The sequence below is a fragment of the Homo sapiens genome, chromosome 16, assembly GCF_000001405.40.
Source record: "Homo sapiens chromosome 16, GRCh38.p14 Primary Assembly".
NCBI classification, from domain to species: domain Eukaryota; kingdom Metazoa; phylum Chordata; class Mammalia; order Primates; family Hominidae; genus Homo; species Homo sapiens.
This window is the reverse complement of record NC_000016.10, coordinates 1,855,568-1,876,877: the sequence shown is the minus strand read 5'-3', so window position 1 is coordinate 1,876,877 and position 21,310 is coordinate 1,855,568. Positions and strand designations below refer to the sequence as shown.

The 21,310-nt window shown below is 43.7% G+C and overlaps 1 protein-coding gene across 2 annotated transcripts in view; it reads left to right on the top strand.

Moving 5' to 3' along the window:
* Positions 1-4,713: 4,713 nt before the first annotated feature.
* Positions 4,714-21,310, top strand: part of MEIOB (meiosis specific with OB-fold) — a 38,179-nt gene continuing 21,582 nt past the window's right edge. For both annotated transcript variants that reach the window (NM_152764.3, NM_001163560.3), the window contains exons 1-6: positions 4,714-4,885; positions 8,694-8,771; positions 11,043-11,100; positions 14,762-14,893; positions 16,403-16,475; positions 18,948-19,143. In NM_152764.3, coding sequence (NP_689977.2) covers positions 8,703-8,771; positions 11,043-11,100; positions 14,762-14,893; positions 16,403-16,475; positions 18,948-19,143 — 528 coding nt within the window. In that variant the 5' untranslated portion in view covers positions 4,714-4,885; positions 8,694-8,702. The remainder of the gene's footprint in view (positions 4,886-8,693; positions 8,772-11,042; positions 11,101-14,761; positions 14,894-16,402; positions 16,476-18,947; positions 19,144-21,310) is intronic.

The window sequence follows — 21,310 nt, the reverse complement described above, 5'->3', positions numbered from 1 at the left end:
ATGTGTGTGTGTGTGTGTGTGTGTGTGTGTGTGTGTGTTTAATATAAATGGTGCTGAAACATGGCCATGACAGCACTCCCAAGACATGGGCCCTTCCTTCTGTTGTCACCTCAGTAAATTTCCCATGGGATAGGCTTCCAAAGGTCAAAGCCTGTGCCTTGTGTGCTCATGCCCTCTTCTGCTCCCTCTAGTACGGGGTGCCAGACATGCAGCACGCAGGAACCACTCCAGGTCCCTGGGCACGGACTACGGATGCTGAGTTATTTCAAGCCCAGCACGTTACTCACTTCAGCTCAGCACCTCTCACCTTGTCCTGAGGCTTTCAGTTCCAGTTTCAATTCACCGTTCAACCTTTTTTAAAATTTTTATTTATTTATTTATTTTTTTGAGACGGAGTCTTAAAAGAGCTTAGGAGCTGAGCTTTACATACTTGGCAATGCTGCAAATGGCTGGAGCGCAGTGGCGCGATCTCGGCTCACTGCAACCTCCACCTCCCAGGTTCAAGCAATTCTCCTGCTTCAGCCTCTCGAGTAACTGGGATTACGGGCACCTGCCACCACAATACATTTTTGTGTTTTCAGTAGAGACGGGGTTTCGCCACGTTGCCCAGGTAGGTATCCAGCTCCTGACCTCAGGTGATCCGCCCACATTGGCCTCCCAAAGTGCTGGGATTATAGGTGTGAGCCACCACGCCCGGCCTCCAGTAGCTCTTAAATTGCTTCTTTTTGGCCCTAAACACGATTTCCACATCTAGTTCTTCCAGTCCCTTTTGCAGGTTACCTCACTCCTCTTCTCTACATAAACTTCTGCAAAAGTTTACAAAAAATCTGTAAATGTTAGTGTATCTACAACCTATTTATTTATTTATTTATTATTATTATTTTTTCTGAGATGGAGTTTCACTCTTGTTGCCCAGGCTGCAGTGCAATGGCGCAATCTTGGCTCAGTGCAACCTCCGCCTCTCGGGTTCAAGTGATTCTCCTGCCTCAGCCTCCCAAGTAGCTGGGATTACAGGCATGTGCCACCATGCCGGCTAATTTTTGTATTTTTAGTAGAGATGGGGTTTCACCATCTTGGCCAGGCTGGTCTCGAACTCCTGACCTCAGGTGATCCACCCGCCTCAGTCTGTCAAAATGCTAGGATTACAGGGGTGAGCCACCACGCCTGGCCTACAATCTATTTAAAACATGATTAGGCCAGGCACAGTGGTTCATGCCTATAATCCCAGTGCTTTGGGAGGCTGAGGCAGGAAGATTGCTTGAGTCCAGGAGTTCAAGACCAGCTTGGGCAATATAGCGAGACCCCATCTCTACAAAAAAATACAAAACTTAGCCGGCGTGGTGGTGTGCACCTACGGTCCCACGGGAGGCTGAGGTGGGAGGATCACCTGAGCCCAGGGAGGTCGAGGCTGCAGTGAACTGTGATCGTGCCACTGCACTCCAGCCTGGGTGACAGAGTGAGACCCTGTTTTGGGAGAAAAACAAAAAAGATGATCAGTCCTTTGATGGAGTGACGAGTGGGGGTGAGACTAATTATGCCAGTAACTGATCTATTAGTATTTCAGCTCCTGGGAGGAAGACCATAGTCACGGGATCAATGCTGGAAAAGTTATAGTTTTGTTAAATAAATAAAAGCTTATCTTGTAATTCATTAAAATAACTGTCAATTTTTAATGAATTTCTATCTTGTAATTCATTAAAATAACTGTCAACGTTTCTACTGATTAGAACGTGTAAAGTTTATGACTATATATTTTGCCTGTCACTCCTTTGTGACAGCTCCTAGATGTTTTGACAGCTGGCATGCTCTGGGGAGCTGACCATGTAGCCAACTACCGTTTCTTTAGCCAGACATGTGAGCTATTTCAGCTCTGACCCTTGTTCGCTCACCCTTGACTTCTGCATCAAGCGGCAAGGGCAAGCTAGCATTTCTAGTCCTTATTTCTGTTCGTGTACATCCAAAATATATTGACAAGTCAATCCTATTGTTAAGAGCAAGCCAATTTCACAGAACTGCTATAAAAAATGGAAGAAACAAATTCCGTACACAACAAGGGAGACTTAATTTCACGAGCGTGAAGCAATTCCACTCTTTTAGGCTTGTATTTTGAAGCATCGTGGCTTATGAGAAGCCTGTTGTGTCCTGGCAAGGCTGACACTGTTTGCTTAACCTTATGTAGCTTTCTGCAAAAATTAATTTACTAAAACGTGACAAAATTTAAAAAATTTTAGAATATTATTGCTTCACTGAGGCTCAAATGAAAAATGCATGAAAACTATTTTTATATTTTTTCCTCTCCTTTAAGATGGACTTAAAATGCTAGTTTATTTTATTTTGTTATTTTGTGTTTTTTTTTTTGAGACAGAGTCTCTCTCTGTTGCCCAGGCTGGAGTGCAGTGGCCCGATCTTGGTTCAATGCAACCTCCACCTCCTGGGTTCAAGCAATTCTCCTGCCTCAGCCTCCCGAGTAGCTGGGACTAAAGGCGCATGCCACCACGCCTGGCTAATTTTTTGTGTTTTAGTAGAGATGGGGTTTCACCGTGTTGCCCAGGCTGGTGGCCAACTCCTGAGCTCAGGCAATCCGCCCACCTTGGCCTCCCAAAGTGCTGGGATTACAGACGTGAGCCACTGCCCCCGGCCACTAGTTTATTCTTTTGGAAAGATAAAGATAGGTTTTTTTTTTTTGTTTTTTTTTTTTTTTTTTTTTTGAGATGGAGTCTCCATCTGTCACCCAGGCTGGAGTGCAGTGGCGTAATCTTGGCTCACTGCAACCTTTGCCTCCCAGGTTTAAGCGATTCTCCTGCCTCAGCCTCCCGAGTAGCTGGGATTACAGGCTCCCGCCACCATGCCTGGCTAATTTTTGTATTTTTAGTAGAGATGGGGTTTCACCACGTTGGGCCAGTCTGGCCTCGAACGCCTGAGCTCAGGCAATCTGCCCTCCTCAGCCTCCCAAAGTGCTGGGATTACAGGCATGAGCTACCAACCCCGGCCAAAAATATCTTCTTTTAAAGGCAGAGACTGGAAAGGAATAGGGACGATTTAAAAACCCAACTCTTCCCATTATATTTGAAATGGTGAAATGCAGGTACTTTATTTTGCTTCCCAGTATTATTTGGGAAATTAAAAAAAAATGAGGAAAAGAAAAACTGTATTTTAATAATAACATAAAACTTGGTTCTACAGTGGTATTTTTCTTTTATAATATGTGTGTGTTATATGCACCAAAGTTGTTCTTCTCTTTTTAAAGAGAAACTTAAATAATGCTACATGTGGACAGTAGTAGGTGACAAATTTAATGGACTTAGTTTTTGGATCTTACTTGCCCTGGGTTGGTACTCTGTTAACAAAAATTAGTATAAGTCATTAAACTAAAAAGATTTCTAAATGGAAGTAATTAAAAACATGAAGAGCTGAGAAAATTTTTGTCAGATTCACCTAAGTCCAATCCTTAGCACATCTAATTATATATATATTTTTCATACATAGATATACACATCTAGGGTTTTTTCTTTCTTTTTCTTTTTTCTTTTCTTTTGAGACGGAGTCTCGCTCTGTCACCCAGGCTGGAGTGCAGTGGCGCGGTCTCAGCTCACTGCCAGCTCCGCCTCCCGGGTTCACGCCATTCTCCTGCCTCAGCCTCCGGAGTAGCTGCGACTACAGGCACCCGCCACCACGCCCGGCTAATTTTTTGTATTTTTAGTAGAGATGGGGTTTCATCTTGTTAGTCAGGATGGTCTCCATCTCCTGACCTCGTGATCCGCCCGCCTCGGCCTCCCAAAGTGCTGGGATTACAGGCGTGAGCCACCGCGCCCAGCCCATCTATGGGTATTTTCTTGATGTACTACATGCCAAATCTATCATTAGATGTAGATATATTAATTAATTAATTAATTAATTAATTTTGTAGAGACAGGGTCTTACTCTTGCCCAGGCTGGAGTGCAGTAGCGCCATCATAGCTCACCACAGCCTTGAACTCCTGGGCTCAAGCGATTCTCCCCCCTCAGCTTCCCCAGTAGCTGGGACTACAGGCATGCATCGTCGTGCCTGGCTCATTTTTTCTTTTTTTTTTTTTTTGGAGACAGAGTCTCACTCTGTTGCCCAGGCTGGAGTGCAGTAGTACAGTCTCGGCTCACTGCAACCTTCCTCTCCTGGGTTCAAGCGACCTCTCCCGGGTTCAAGCGATTTTCATACCTCAGCCTCCTGAGTAGCTGGGACTACTCGGGTGGGCGGGCGGCGCCACAAGACAACCAGGCACTCACCACCACGCCTGGCTAATTTCTTTCGTATTTTTAGTAAAGACGGGGTTTCACCATGTTGGCCAGGCTGGTCTTGAACTCCTGAGCTCAGGTGATCCGCCCGTCTCTGCCTCCCAAAGTGCTGGGATTACACGCGTGAGCCACCGCGCCCGCCCTTCATAATATTATAGATAGAGAGATATGTTTATTTTTTTCCGGCGCACCGTCTTTTGGAATCCAGCGACCACAGAGCCACACGCGGCTGTGAGAGCGCACGGAGACCCCTCCCCGCGCCTGCGGCTGTCTTGTCCCTCTAACTCCCAAGAAGGAGGAAACGGGAACCGGGCTCCCCTCCCCTCCCCCGAGGGCTGAGTCTGAGCGCGTTGGGGGCGGAGCCAGTGAGCGGTGGGGGCGGAGCCAGTGAGCGGTGGGGGCGGAGTCAGTGAGCGGTGGGGGCGGAGTCGCTGAGGACGGGGCGGGGCCTCGCGCTAACGGTCGCGCGGCCGTCGCACCTGCACGAGGCTGTGGCCCGAGCGTCCTGTGGAGAAGCCGCGAAGCGCGGGCGACCCGGGGGTCGGGCGGGCCAGGTCCGCGAGGCCGCGGCGGCAGCTGTGCAGGCCCGGGGAGCAGCCGGCCGGGCGAGCCTCGGGTAAGCAGCGGCGTGGACGGCCAGGTGGCGACGCGGGCCAGGCCTCCAGCTGTGGGGCGGCGTCCGAGGAAGGGAGCCCGCGCGGGTCAGGGCCCGGCTCCTCCTCCCTGGTTCAAGGATTCCCCTGCCTCAGCCTCCCGAGTAGCAGGGATTAGAGGCGTGCGCCACCATACCTGGCTAATTTTTTTTGTATTTTTAGTATAGACGGGGTTTCACCATGTTGGCCAAGCTGGTCTCAAATTCCTGACCTCGCGATCTGCCCACCTCAGGTGCAACCCCATCTCTACAAAAAATACAAAAATTAGCCAGGTGTGGTAGCAGGCTTCTGTAATCCCAGCTACTGTGGAGGCTGAACCAGGAGACTCGCTAGAACCCGGGAGGTGGAGGTTGCAGTGAACCAAGATCGCACCATTGCACTCCGGTCTGGGCAACAGAGCAAGACTCTGTCAAAAAAAAAAAAAAAAAAAAAAAAAGGGCCGGGCGCGGTGGCTCAAGCCTGTAATCCCAGCACTTTGGGAGGCCGAGGCGGGTGGATCACGAGGTCAGGAGATCGAGACCATCCTGGCTAACACGGTGAAACCCCGTCTCTACTAAAAATACAAAAAATTAGCCAGGCGTGGCGGCGAGTGCCTGTAGTCCCAGCTACTCGGGAGGCTGAGGCAGGAGAATGGCGTGAACCCGGGAGGCGGAGCTTGTAGTGAGCCGAGATTGCGCCACTGCGCTCCAGCCTGGGCGACAGAGCAAGACTCTGTCTCAAAAAACAAAACAAAACAAAATTGTAGGGTAAAAGAGACAGTAGTTGTTGAATGAAGTCATCTCTGAATTCTCAGATTGAGCTCTTTAGTTCATGTTAATTTTGTATCTGTTAAAGTGACCAGGTAGAGAAGCAAGTCATATTTTTTGTGGGCAGACACTAACGTCTATTACCATATACCTCTAACGGTAGCAGACAAATAAGGGAATTCAGAGAGATAATAGGATACCATGTCCCACCAAGAGATGCTAAGGGGTAAAAATGTGGAGAAATCCCTTGGTGTGTAGGTAGTTGTGTTTGTACAGAATATTCAGCCACTGAGTCAAATGTCTGACTCATCCTCTCGACTCACATGTCTGGCACTTTGGGCTGTAAATAAATATTAGTTGAATGGTTGAATGAGTGAATGAATTTGTCACAGTTCGGCAAGTGTTTTAGATAGTGACACTGCATTGTGAGCCACATCAGACCAGGCCAAAGAACGAATGAAAAACTTGACACAGCTTAATTCCCAAATGTTTCTTCTGGCACTGAAAGGCCTTGAATACAAAAACTGGTACATTGGATAATATTGACAAGCAGGGCCATCATTGACTGTGAGCCTGTGAACATCGAGGCATCTTGTATACACTGTTTCTACTTTTCACTGCCAGGTGGATGTTATCCACAATTTAAGGATGAGGAAATTAATGTTTAGTAATGTTAAAACACACGACTACAAACTAGTGGTGTTGCAATTCAAAATCATATTTGACTAACTCCACAGGCTGCCTGAAATTCAGGTGTCATGAGACACGTCCTTGAACTGGAGCGGGTGGGTGTGGGCATTCCCAGAGTTAAAGAGGCCCTGGATTATAAAGTGAAGTCAATCTGTTTGGTGTAGCTTACAATTTTTCTACAATAGAACCTTTTAGAGTGATGATGTTGAGGGACAAACCACCATTTCGTTCATCTGATATTTATGGTTTTCAGTTATGAAATACATACATAAAAATACGTAAGATGCCACCTCTGCCCTCATGTAGTTTTACTATGTAGAGGTGTGTTTAAAATCAATAATTTTCCCGGGCTGGGCTCAGTGGCTCACGCCTGTAATCCCAGCACTTTGGGAGGCTGATGCGGGTGGATCATCAGGTCAGGAGATCGAGACCATCCTGGCTAACACAGTGAAACCCCATCTCTACTAAAAATACAAAAAAATTAGCTGGGTGAGGTGACACATGCCTGTAGTCCCAGCTACTCGGGAGGCTGAGGCAGGAGAATCGCTTGAACCTGGGAGGTAGAGGTTGCAGTGAGCTGAGATCGTGCCACTGCACTCCATCCTGGGCGACAGAGCGAGACTCCGTCTCAAAAAAAAAAAAATCACTACCTTTCCCTTCACACAGTATAATCAAATGCTCAATATGAGGTGTTTACGTAGATTTTTGCTGTATTTTTTGAGGTAAGCTTGATGCTAATATATATTTAAATCCTTAAATGTCCCACTGAGGCCGGGCGTGGTGGCTCATGCCTGTAATCCCAGCACTTTGGGAGGCCGAGGTGGGCGGATCACGAGGTCAGGAGATGGAGACCATCCTGGCTAACACGGTGAAACCCCGTCTCTACTAAAAATGCAAAAACAAAATTAGCCAGGCGTGGTGGCAGGTGCCTGTAATCCCAGCTACTCGGGAGGCTGAGGTGGGAGAATGGCGTGAACCCAGGAGGTGGAGCTTGCAGTGAGCTGAGATTGCACCACTGCACTCCAGCCTAGGCAACAGAGTGAAACTCCATCTCAAAAAAAAAATGTCCTATTGAATCATCTTGCATGTAAAACTCTAAATTTGGCTGGGCTTGGTGGCTCACGCCTGTAATCCAGCACTTTGGGGGCGGCCGGATCACTTGAGATCAGGAGTTCAAGACCAGCCTGGCCAACATGGTGAAACCTCGTCTCTACTAAAAATACAAAAATTGGCTGGGCATGGTGGCAGGCGCCTGTAATCCCAGCTATTTGGGAGGCTGAGGCAGAAGAATCGCTTGAGCCTGGGAGGCGGATGTTGTGGTGAACTGAGATTGTGCCACTGCACTCCACCCTGGGGCACAGAGTGAGACTGATGTCTCAAAAAAAGAAAAAAAGTTAAAACAAAATTAAAAAATAAAATAAAACTAAATTTACATGGTGCTCAAAAACTACTAAATTTTACATGGTTTTAGAAATGAAAGTTAAAAATTGAAACCTATAATAGCTATATCATTCAAAATTATAAAAGGACATTCTGAACATGTTTTTTATAGGTTTAATCGATATTAATTTACATTTTACCATTATAATAAAAATTTTCCAAAGCAGTAAACTATCCAGTGCTTTCCTAAATAATATTTTATTTTATTTTATTTATTTATTCTTTGAGATGGAGTGTCGCTCTGTCATCCAGGCTGGAGTGCAGTGGTGCCATCTCAGCTCACTGCAAGCTCCGCCTCCCGGGTTCACGCCATTCTCCTGCCTCAGCCTCCCGAGTAGCTGGGCCTACAGGTGCCTGCCACCAAGCCCAGCTAATTTTTTGTATTTTTAGTAGAGACGGGGTTTCAGCATGTTAGCCGGGATGGTCTCGATCTCCTGACCCTGTGATCCGCCCTCCTCGGCCTCCAAAAGTGCTGGGATAATAGGCATGAGCCACCGCACCTGGCCAATAATATTTTATTTTATTTTATTTTATTTTGTTTTATTTATTTTTGAGACAGAGTCTCGCTCTGTTGCCCAGGCTGGAGTGCAGTAGTGCGATCTCGGCTCAGTGCAACCTCTGCCTCCCAGGTTCAAGCACTTCTTCCTGCCTCAGCCTCCTGAGTAGCTGGGATTACTGGTGCCCGCTACCACGTGAGGTTTCGCCATGATGGCCAGGCTGGTCTTGAACTCCTGACCTCAGGTGATCCATCCACTTCAGCCTCCCAAAGTGCTGGGATTACAGGTATGAGCCACCATGTCCGGCCCTAAATAAGATTTTAAACTCTTGGAATTTTTTAAATGATTTATTTCATTTATTCAATTTATATATCTAAATTATATTTTCTAAAATGCAGATTAAAAAAATGGCAAACTCCTTTGCAGCGAGGATTTTCACTACCCTTTCAGATCTGCAGACAAATATGGCTAATCTGGTAGGTTTCAATAATGTGGTGATTTGCTTACTGATGACATTTTATGTGATAACATTACATCAATGTTATTGATTCATTCAACACATGCTTTTATAATTGGCAAGTATATAGATACTCATTGCATTGGTATAATTGTTAGATATTAAGTATACCTAAATTTCTTTGTATTTATGCCACCTAGATGAAAATTAATCTTTGTGTGTAGAGTAGAAGATATGATTGTAGATTTGACTAGTAATTGTTCAAAATGATCAATAGATGTATTATTTTACTTAATATTTTATAAAGTGAAAAATTTAATAAATGCTCAAATTTAGCATTGTAAAATTAAACCAGGCCAGGCACAGTGGCTCATGTCTGTAATCCCAGCACTTTGGGAGGCTGAGGCAGCTGGATCACCTGAGGTTGGGAGTTTGAGACCAGCCTGATCAACATGGAGAAACCCCATCTCTACTAAAAATACAAAATTAGCTGGGTGTGGTGGCTCATGCCTGTAATCCCAGGTACTCAGGAGGCTGAGGCAGGAGAATCGCTTGAAGCCAGAAGGCGGTCTCAGTGAGCCGAGATCGCACCATTGCACTCCAGCCTGGGCAACAAGAGCAAAACTCTTCTGAAAAAAAAAAAAAAAAAAAAAAAAAAAAAAATTAAACCATTTTGTTCAGCAGTAGCAATTTTCTGACCAAATTATCCAATTTATGGTCTAAGTACTTGACATTATGCTGCTTTTATGATATAGGTTTATAACATGTGTGTTTTCTACAATGATGATGTGAAAATTGACTCTTTGAGTAGGAGTTATAGGGGAATTCAATGATTTTGAACACATCTCGACTGTTACTTACTTAAAAGAAAACTAAGTGGAATCATCTTATAAGTTAAAGAACTTATTGTAAAGCAGCTACCACACACCCTTACCTTCCCTGCCCCTGAGCACTCTGCTATTTATATTTTGCTTTTGCAAACTAGATTTCTTACAATGGGATACATTTACATATAACTTTAATAATTTAAAATTTTAAAATATTAAAAAATAACAATTGTTGTTATAGTTTTTCTTGAAAGGTAAACTATTTGCTAATAATGGTCTCTTCAGATAGAAAGTTTTACTCAACATTTCCATTAATTGGATTTTCCAACAAAATTCAGTGAGATCTGCAAGTATAAGGAATTGAAGAAATAATATCAATGTGTCTAAATAAGCAATAAAGCTAGCTAATAGCTCAGCTAGAATGTAGGAGTCTTAAAAGCCTGATTGTAATTTAAATGTCAAGATTATTGTAAGGTTAAAATCAGTTGCTGCAATTAGCAAAATAAGTTTAGTTTTTTTCCTTTCAGAAAAGGTATTCATTTTTATTTTTTATTATTTTTTTTTTATTTTTATTTTTTGCGATGGAGTCCTGCTCTGTTGCCCAGGCTGAAGTGCAATAGTGGGATCTAAGCTCACTGCAACCTGTGCCTCTGGGTTCAAGCGATTCTCCTGCCTCAGCCTCGCGAGTAGCTGGGATTACAGGCACCCACCACCACACCTGGCTAATTTTTTGTATTTTTAGTAGAGATGGAGTTTCACCATGTTGGTCAGACTGGTCTCAAACTCATGACCTCAGGTGACCCACCCGCCTCAGCCTCCCAGAGTGCTGGGATTACACGTGTGAGCCAACACACCCGGCCCATTTTTATTTCTTAAAACACATTTAAAATTTTTCTTCAGTAGTCACTAAAGAGAACATTAAACATTTTGAGGAGATGTTAATATCTCTAAGTTTTAAGATCTAGGACTTTAGAATTTAGATTTATTAGCAGCAAAATATAAGTTTTGTTACAGTCTAATTTATATTACTGTCCAGCATGTTTGGATTAAGAAGCTAAGTGATTTTATGTGGATTGTTAGAAAACCCTATATAAAGGAAAGCTTTGAAGACTGTGGCAAATTAAATTGCATTATACATGTGCTTTGGATGAATTCAGTAAGGATTGATAGCATAGGGCAGTTATTATGCTCCATCTGGTGATTGAAAATAAAGTAGAAATATGCTAAGTATTAAATGATTATATTTGTAATAGTAGTTAACTTTTGGATTACTTTATACTATTCCTTGTGGAATTGAACATTTATGAACTTCTTTTAGATGTTTGCCTGGAATAAATACATTTAAATGGTTCCTAGTCAGAAATGTTTGTTAGAGCCAGTAAAGTATAACAAGCCCATGAAATTAAATTTATCAAGTACATCTGTGTTTAATATTGGTCTTCTGTGACCTTTTTGTTTTTCAGAAAGTTATCGGTATAGTTATTGGGAAAACAGATGTCAAAGGCTTTCCAGACAGAAAAAGCTGAGTTCTGTTTAACTCTTGGTTTCATTTTTCATCAACTTTGGCTTATGACTACAACAAAGTATATTGAAGTGATTAATTTTTCTATGCCTGTTTAACTCCTTAAGAGCAATGGTCATGCTCTCTATTGGATGGTCAAGTACCTGATTCAAGGCTTTCTCTCTCCCTCCCTCCCACATTCTCTCTCTCTCTCTATATATATGTATACATACACACATATGTGTATATATGTTTATGTGTATACACACACGTGTGTATGTGTGTGCATGTGTATGTGTGTGTATGTGTGTACACGTGTGTGTATATATGTATATTTGAGTACATGTGTTCTCTCTTTTTTTTTTTGAGATGGAGGCTCGCTCTGTCACTCAGGCTGGAGTGCAATGGCACGATCTCGACTCACTGCAACCTCTGCCTCCTGGGTTCAATCGATTCTCCTGCTTCAACCTCCCGAGTAGCTGGAATTACAGGCACATGCCATCATGCCCAGCTAATTTTTGTATTTTTAGTAGAGATGGGGTTTCACCATTTTGGCCAGGCTGGTCTTGAACTCCTGACCTCAAGTGATCTCCCTGCCTCGGCCTCCCAAAGTGCTGGAATTACAGGTGTGAGCCACCATGCCCAGCCCCTGGTTGATTTAAAAAAAACAAAAATTTGTAGAGACAGAGTCTTGCTCTGTTGCCCAGGCTGGTCTCAAACTCCTGGGCTCAAGTGATCATCCCACCTCATCCTCCTAGAGTGATCAGATTACAGGCATGATGCTTTTATCTTTAAGGTAAATAACCAAGCTGTCATCTGGTACCCATATCATTTGTGCCTGCACTTTATTTCATCTTAACTAATTAGATCAGAAATACTAAATAAATAGTTTGAGGAAGTCTATATCTCCTTTTACCAAATTTCAGAAGGCATCACTTAAAATGTGTGAATTAGAAAAAAGTAGTTATTAAAATACTTGCTAAAATTATAAAAATGAAATACACGGTTTTTTGCCAGGCACAGTGGTCACGCCTGTAATCCCAGCAGTTTGGGAGGCTGAGGTGGGCGGATCACCTGAGGTCAGGAGTTTGGGACCAGCCTAACCAACATGTAGAAACCCCCTCTCTACTAAAAATACAAAATTAGTCAGGCATGGTGGCAGGCGCTTGTATTCCCAGCTACTCGGGAGGCTGAGGCAGGAGAATCGCTTGAACCTGGGAGGCGCAGGTTGCAGTGAGCCAAGATCACGCCATTGCACTCCAGCCTGGGCAGCAAGAGTGAAACTCTGTCTCAAAAAAAAAAAAAAAAAAGAAAAGAAAAAGAAATTCACAGTTTTTCACCTATCAGACTGTGAGGGAAGGAGAAAAACTTCTGTGTTGTTTGACTTCTTTTTATGATGACATCTGTGGTATTCCTTTTTTGGAAGAAGTATGCTTACTGACTTAAAACATTGTACATATAACATTATATTTGTATCAAAAATTCCAGCAGTACCAAAGGTCACAGATTTGAAAAGTGAAATTCCCCTTTCAGCTCCTCACTCTTGCCATCCTAGTCCTCTCCCCAGAGGTAAACACTAATAGACAGTTCAGAATATGTCTATAATTTACATGTATGTTGAGTTATATTACTTTTTTTAAAAATTTGAGATAGGGTCTTGCTCTGTCACTCAGCCTGGAGTGCAGCAATGTGAATACAGCTCACTGCAGCCTCAACCCTGGGCTCAAGTGGTCTTCCTGCCTCAGCCTCGCATGTAGCCCAGACAGGTCCATGCTACTATGCCTGAATAATTTTTGGAGTTTTTGTAGAGACAGAGGGTCTCACTTTGTTGCCCAGTCTCGAACTCCTTGGCTGAAGCAATCTTACCCCCTTGGCCTCCCAAGGTGCCGGGATTATAGGCAGGAGCAACTGCGCCCAGCCAGGTTGTAATTTTTAATTAGCAAAACCAATATGAAATTTCTATTTTGGAAAAAAAGTATTTGCTGACCCCTAGTGGTCCTCATTAAGTAGCACATAATTTGTTTTGAAATAACTTATTTTAATTATTTTTAAAATTTATTTTTTTTTTTTTTGAGACAGGGTCTCACTCTGTTCTTCCCCACCTCTACTAAAAAACCTTGTCTCATCAGGCACGGTGGCTCATGCCAGCACTTTGGGAGGCTGAGGCAGGCAGATCACGAGGTCAGGAGTTCGAGACCAGCATGGCCAACATGGTGAAACCCCGTCTCTACTAAAAGTACAAAATTAGCCAGGCATGGTGGCAGGCGCCTGTAGTCCCAGCTACTTGGGAGGGTGAGGCAGGAGAATTGCTTGAACCCAGGAGGCAGAGGTTGCTGTGAGCTGAGATCGCGCCATTGCACTCCAGCCTGGGTAACAAGAGCGAAACTCCGTCTCAAAAACAAACAAAAACGAAACCCGTTTTTACTAAAAAAAAAACAAAAAACAAAAATTAGCCTGGCATGGTGGTGTGCGTCTGTAGCCCCAGCTGCTCAGGAGGCTGAGTCCCAGCTGCTGGGAGGCAGGGGTTGCAGTGAGCCGAGAGATCGCGTCACTGAACTCCAGCCTGGGTGTACATTTCATGAACACCCTGAACTCATTCTTCCCAGGCTGGAGTGCAGTGGTGCATTCAAAGCTCACCGCACACTTAAACTGGGCTCAAGCAACCTTTCCTCCTCAGCCTCCCAAGTAGCTGAGACTAAAGATGAGTGCCACCACTAATTTTAAAATTTTCTGTAGAGATGGTGTCCTTCTATGTTGCCCAGGCTGGTTTTGAACTCCAGGCCTCAAGTGATTCTCCTACCTCACCTCCCAAAGTCCTGGGATCACAGGGGTAAGCTGTTGTGCCTGGCCAATTTTTATTTTTATTTTATTATTATTTATTTATTTATTTTTGAGACAAGAGTTTTTCTCTTGTCACCCAGGCTGGATCTCGGCTCACTGCAACCTCCGCCTCCTGGGTTCAAGCGATTCTCCTGCCTCAGCCTCCCGAGTAGCTGGGATTACAGGCGCCCACCACCACGCCTGGCTAAGTTTTGTATTTTTAGCAGAGACAGGGTTTCACCATGTTGGCCAGACTGGTCTTGAACTAACCTCAGGTGATCCACCCGCCTCGGGCTCCCAAAGTGTTAGGATTACAGGCGTGAGCCATTGCGCCCGGCCTATTTTTACTTTTATTTTTGGGACGGGGTCTTGCTCTGTTGCCCAGGCTGGAGAGCAGTGGGGCAATCACAGTTCGCTGAAGCCTTGAACTTTTGGGCTTAAGCAGTCATTCTGCTTCATCCTCCTAAGTAGCTGGGACTGAAATAACTATTTAGATCTGAATTATGACTTAGGTTGAAACAACAGTAAGAGAGAAAAGGAGAACCTAAGGTAATACCTGGATGGCTCAAGTTTACATGTTTTTCCCTCCAAATACACAGATCACCAGGGAAGGGAGCAAGGGGGCAACCTGTTACCACTTCAGCTTGAAATTCATAGAAGCATGTTATAGAATATACATCTGAAAGAACATTTTGTACTATGTATTTGAGTATTTTTATTATCATAATCAATAGTTATTTGATTAAACAAATAATCATTTGTTTATAATTGAAATGAAACTTTTCATGTAACACTTATCAAAAGGCAGAGAAGCGATTGAAACTCTTCATTTGAAAAATAAAAGCATTGGTTTTCCCTTAGATATTGGATCAGAAAGGTACACTTTCAGCTTCACCATTCGGGATTCACCAGCACATTTTGTAAATGCAGCTTCCTGGGGCAATGAAGATTACATCAAGTCTCTTTCTGACAGCTTTAGGGTTGGTGACTGTGGTAAGTTGGCATTGATTCTTAAACTTTTTCCATCATAGTGTTATTCCTGTGGTATGTTTATGGTAACTATACTGAAGGAGTTGAAATGAGACACAGTTCGTAATTCTCAAGAACTTTATCAGAAAAAGTCAAGTGTTAAGAGTATAATGCAGTGGGGCACGGTGGCTCATGCCTGTAATCCCAACACTTTGGGAGGCTGAGGTGGGTGGATTGCGTGAGTTCAGGAGTTCGAGACCAGCCTGAGCAACATGGCAAGACCCCATTTCTACAAAAAATTAGCTGGGTGTGGTGGCGTGGGCCTGTAGTACCAGCTACTAAGGAGGCTGAAGCAGGAGGGTGGCTTGAGCCCTGGAGGTGGAGGTTGCAGCGAGCCAACATCGTACCTCTGCACTCCAGCCTGAGTCACAGAGTAAGACCCTGTCTCAAAAAAAAAAAAAAAAAAAAAAAAAGACTGCAATGCGAGGCATTCAGAATGTTATTTGAAGCATACAAATGTGATAGTTATATTTTTACTAAATAACCTTACTGTCTTTGGTTTATTACATATTTCAATTTGCACCAACCCATTTTATTGTTATAATTGGTTATCTTTCTATAGACATATAATACAGCCACTGAATATATTTTGATAAAAGTTGACATTTGACCACTGAATAGATTTTGATAAAAACTGATATTTAAATTGTTAATGGGATTTTAAGGAACTTTACTTTTAGTTGAAATACCAAATCTTTTACATCTACTCACCCCAGTATCTCTTTGACAGAACAGCCTCATATAGTAGGAAGAACAGGAGACTTTGAAAACACAGAGGTCTAGATTCAAATCCCAGTTCCAACATTGACTTACATCATGGCTTTGAGAAAATTTCTTAATCTTGTTGGGTCTCAACTATGAAATAATACCTCATTAGGTTCTTGTAAATATTAAATGAGATGGTGTACCTAGTATAACGTGTGGAACTTAGTCACTCAACAGATAACTTTTATGAGCCCTAGCCTCATAAAAGGAACAAGAAAGCATGTATACTAGTTCTTCACGATAGAAAAAGAGAAAAGAGTAATGCAGGTAATGAAAACACTCCTCTTTAATACTGTGGTCTCAAGCAGCTGACTCCCCATACCGGTTATTTAGAACCTAATCATATATTGCCTTGTATTGTTAACTTTCAGGACAATGTATGGTATCTCTCTAGTTGAATAATAGGGTCATTGAACATATGGACTATGAAGGCAGAAAGCTTCACAAACTTCATAGGGCCCAGTATAGCTATAGACATCCCTTGAATAAATGCTGGAATATTAGTTACATATGGAGATAAAGATTTCAATTTTGACATCTCAGTATCAAAATATGTTATATGTTGATGATGGAGAAGATGAATGAGGTGAGGAATTTTTAAAGCCTAGAGTCGATGATGATCATAAATTAAACAGGATGTTATTTAGGATGTTAGTGTTTATCTTGTTACTGTTTTGTAATATCATCATACTTTGCCCTCTGTTTTAGTGATAATTGAAAATCCTCTGATCCAAAGAAAGGAAATAGAAAGAGAAGAAAAATTCAGCCCTGCAACTCCTAGGTAAGCATCTGTCTAGCACAGAGATTGTGCGAGAATGATCATTACTAATAATGTTGTATCAGATTAGCAGAGATCTTACTAAAAGTGTTCTGTTTCTATTTCAATAAAAATGAGGAGTTTAATTTTCTCTTACAAAATTCATCTTTGATTATGACATAATTTACTTTGATACAGAGTCACATGATAAATGGCTTTGGTTTTAGTACTTTGATTCTCATTCTTAGATTTACAAAAATTTGACTTTGTCATGTTAAAACTGAATGAGGAGAAAAGATAAACTTTGGAAATTACATCTGTCTTTTTTCATGTCAAGGTATCCTTCTACTCACAGGCTTACCATCTTAGGGCAGATTCCTTCGAAGCAGAGCTTGAGAGGAGGACTCTTGTGGGAGTGGTTGGTTGAGGGTGAGCTCTCAGGGGAACCCTGCGAGGATAGACCAGGAAGCAGCTGAGCAGAGAAGTGGGTTCACCTGGAGCCTCAGCAGGAGCCGGGAGGGAGCTCTGGAGTGGGAGTGGCCCCTTAGAGCAGTGCCCTGGCTGTAGTCCATCCACTCCCCAAACCCGCAGGATGGGGCGGGGCATCAGCTCAAAGGCGGGTCTGGCAGTTCTGGAGAGAAGGGTGTAGCTGTGCCCTGTACCAGCCTGTAAAGGGCTCTTGGTGGGCACAGCAGTCTACAGCATTTACACTCGCATCAACTGTGACCCGTTCCCACCTTCTTTTCTGACCTCATCTTATGCCAGACTCTCAAGCCTCATTTCTCTGTAGCCACAGTGAATTTCTTTATATTTCATGAACACCGTGAACTCATTCTGCACTAAGAACGTTTGTATTTCCTTTTATTTTTATTTTTTATTTTTTACTGAGACAGAGTCCCACTCTGTTGCCCAGGCTGGAGTGCAGTGGCACGATCTCGGCTCACTGTAACCTCTAACTCCTGGGTTCAAACCATTCTCCCACCTCAGCCTCCCAAGTAGCTGTGATTACAGGCACACGCCCCACACCCAGCTAATTTTTGTATTTTTAGTAGAGGCGGGGTTTTGCTATGTTGGCCAGGCTGGTGTCGAACTCCTGACCTCAAGTGATCCGCCCGCCTCGGCCTCCCAAAGGGCTGGGATTACAGGCGTGAGCCACCGCGCCTGGCCAAACTTTTGTATTTTCTATTCTCTCTCTGCATAGAACTTTCTCCCATCTGTTTGACTATTTGCTTCTTTGGGTTATTGACTCACAGCTTAAATGTCATCTTCTTCAACCTTCCCCATCTACTCTGTTTGTGGTAGCGCTAATGGTCAATTACTGGGATTTTGCCCTGGCTTTTGTCAGCATAACCCAAGTCACCGTCTGAGATTGTTTGATTCATTGTTCTTGGGTCTCCCCCTCACATATGTGAGCCTCATGAGATCAAAGGTCTTGTCTGCCTTCTTCACCACCATATCCCTTGTGCCTAGCATAGGGTCTGGTATATAACAGATTCTCAGTATTCATGGAAGTGATGGATGGATGGTTAGATGGAGAGAATATTCTTGGTAGAGGGAAGAAACAGGAAACCTCCTGTCTTTTCCAGAACAGTTAATATTAGTTTGAGCCATATGAAACTGCTGATGTTTTACTATTTTTCATCTAGAAATACCAATTTCATAATGTAATAGTCTGATACGGCTGGAATGCAGGGCACGGGCAGGAGGAGAAGCTTAAGGTGGAAGCAGAGATATTTTACAGACAGCTTTGCTTTCATACTGAGTTATTTCCTTTGTGACTGGTAGCCACAATGATGGTCTTTGAGCTGGGAAATAATATTTTCATATTTGTGGTTTAGGAAGATCACTTTGCTTATGGAGGATGGACTGTAGGGGAATGAAGCTTAGTTAGGATAGCAAGGCAGTGGCTTGGGAGAGAAGTGATGAGGTAGGTAAGTGAGGCCGAGCAGTGGGGAGGAGGTGGGGCTGGGTTAGAGGACTGCTGGGGCACAGAGTGCAAGGGCCGGGAGGGACTCGGTGCAGGAGGGAGAGCTCCTCAGTTCGGGCTCACTGTGCCAGTGTTCTGCGTCTGCTCCATGCAGAGCTCAGTAGGGGTAGGAAAAACACAGTCCCTGACCTGAGGCACTAAGGCAGAACAGCCAGGTCCATAAGAGAGAGAAACAACCAGTCCTTGGGTTTGTATAACCCCTGAAAGTTTCAGAGCGCTTTTTTGCTCCTATTTTTTTGGAGAAGGAAACAAGCGCAGAGTCTTGGGCAAGATCAGACAAATGGTATGTTTAGAACCCCGACACGAATCAATTCTCAAAACATTTCCTTAATGAAAGTGCACTGTAAACAAAAAATGTTTTGCTGTATTATTCAATGTTTCTAAGAGTAAAAAGTATATATTAGTATTGTCTAAATTTCAATGAAAAATGTAGTTTAAATGTGGACCTGGAAATATTTTTCTTTCCAAAGATCACTTTCAAATAACTTTCTTGTGTTTTTGCAATTTAGCAACTGTAAACTGTTGCTCAGTGAGAATCACTCAACAGTAAAAGTTTGTTCCAGTTATGAAGTGGACACAAAGTTACTTTCTTTGATACATTTACCTGTTAAAGAGTCTCATGATTATTATTCACTGGGTGACATTGTTGCAAATGGACACAGTCTTAATGGGAGGATTATTAACGTGCTTGCAGCTGTGAAATCGGTAAGTTAAAACCCCGACAAAGCCAAGTGCAATCTGGCAGGGGAGGTGCAGTCACTTGATCTGTGTTTGGGATGGAGTGGTCACGATCAGCTGGGGTAACTTTTCTTCTCTATCTTGGTAGTATGCTGAATTAAGAAAACAGTAACACTTCTCATTAAAGGGAAACTAGCTTTTTATCTGTGGATGAGTAGTAAAATAAAATTGTATTTGAATGCTAAATGCAGTGTTCCACTCTGCTCGTAAATGATCTGCTAACTATAGGAGAACTTTTTATACATTGCTTAAACAAAGATGTAAATGGAAAGGGTAAGCTTATTGACTCGAAAATCTCCATGACCTTCCTTGAAGGGGCGTAGTTGAATAAGTTAAGGGATCAGTTCTGTGCCTTTGTGCTCAGAGCTGCCCAGCAACCAGGGAGGGAGTGGGAATACACGCTGCCCTGCTGTAGGGCTCCATGGTCTAATAGGTGCAGTGGGACCATGCTGGTGAGGTGCACGGGAGGATGGCCCTCCGTGGGGCACCAGGGGGGTGTTCCCTTCTGGTGCATCAGCGTCTGTCTGAATTACTGTAGCAAGTTCTGAGCTCTGTAGTTGGACAGACCAGAGCCACAAGGCGGAGATTGAGATGTAGACCTCAACGGTAAAGTTTCACAAAATAAAGTACATGAAAATTAGTCCAGGCACAGTGGCTTACACCTGTGATCCTAGCACTTTGGGAGACCAAGGCAGAGGGATCACTTGAGCCCAGTTCAAGACCAGCCTGGGGCAACATGGTGAAACTCCATCTCTACAAAAAATACAAAAATTAGCCGGATGTGGTGGTGTGTACCTGTAATCTCAGCTGCTTGGGAGGCTGAAGTGGGAGGATCACCTGAGCCTGGGAGGTTGAGGTTGCAGTGAGCCAAAATCATGCCACTGCACTCCAGCCTGGGCAATAGAGGGAGACCCTGTCTCAAAAAAAAAAAAAAAAAAAAAAGGCCTGGCGTGGTGGCTCATGCCTGTAATCCTAGCACTTTGGGAGGCTGAGGCGGGTGGATCACAAGGTCAGGAGTTCGAGACCAGCCTGGCCAATATGGTGAAACACCATCGCCACTAAAAATACAAAAATTAGCTGGGTGGCCTGGTGCGGTGGCTCACGCCTGTAATCCCAGCACTTTGGGTGGCTGAGGCGGGAGGATCACGAGGTCAGGAGATCGAGACCATCCTGGCTAACACGGTGAAACCCCGTCTCTACTAAAAATACAAAAAATTAGCCAGGTGAGGTGGTGGGCGCCTGTAGTCCCAGCTACTCAGGAGGCTGAGGCAGGAGAATGGCGTGAACCCGGGAGGCAGAGCTTGCAGTGAGCCAAGATTGCGCCACTGCACTCCAGCCTGGGCGACAGAGCGAGACTCCGACTCAAAAAAAAAAAAAAATTAGCTGGGCATGGTGACAGGTTCCTGCAGTCCCAGCTACTTGGGAGGCTGAGTCAGGAGAATCACTTGAACCTGGAAGGTGGAGGTTGCAGTGAGCCGAGATCGTACCACTGCCCTCCAGTCTGGGCGACAGAACGAGACTCCGTCTCAAAAAAAAAAAATTAGCTGGGCATGGTGGCAGGTACCTGGAGTCCCAGCTACTCAGGAGGCTGAGGCAGGAGAATTACTTGAACCCAGGAGACAGAGGTTGCAATGAGCTGAGATGGCGCCACTGCACTCCAGCCTGGGCGACAGAGCGAGATTCTGGGTTGATAAATAAATAAATAAAGAGGCAAGAGTAATTTCTTAATATAGAGAGGGATGATAGTCAAGAGACAAAAAAAAAAAAAAAGGAAAAAACACACATGCTTATGATAGTTCATGTAAGTAAATGTGAATTGCTTGTTATATTAAATGGTGACTGAGAGAACGTGACCCTTTCAGATGGCAGGGCCCTGGCTGTGGAGGACATGCCTGCCACCTGGGGAGCATCTGTATACTTTAGGGAGAAGGAATAAGCCCGCTATATGATCATCTTGAAAAACAGGAGAAGTCACTTTGTAGGCAGTTTATGTTCAATCCTATTCAGTTGTTCAAAGGAGTGCTCAATTGTTTGCGATTTCCCCAAATTCTAGACAGTGCTATTACGTTTATAATGAAGTAAGAATTGTCTACAACCCTGAATGAATATAGTAGTATAAGCAGGAAACTGCGGC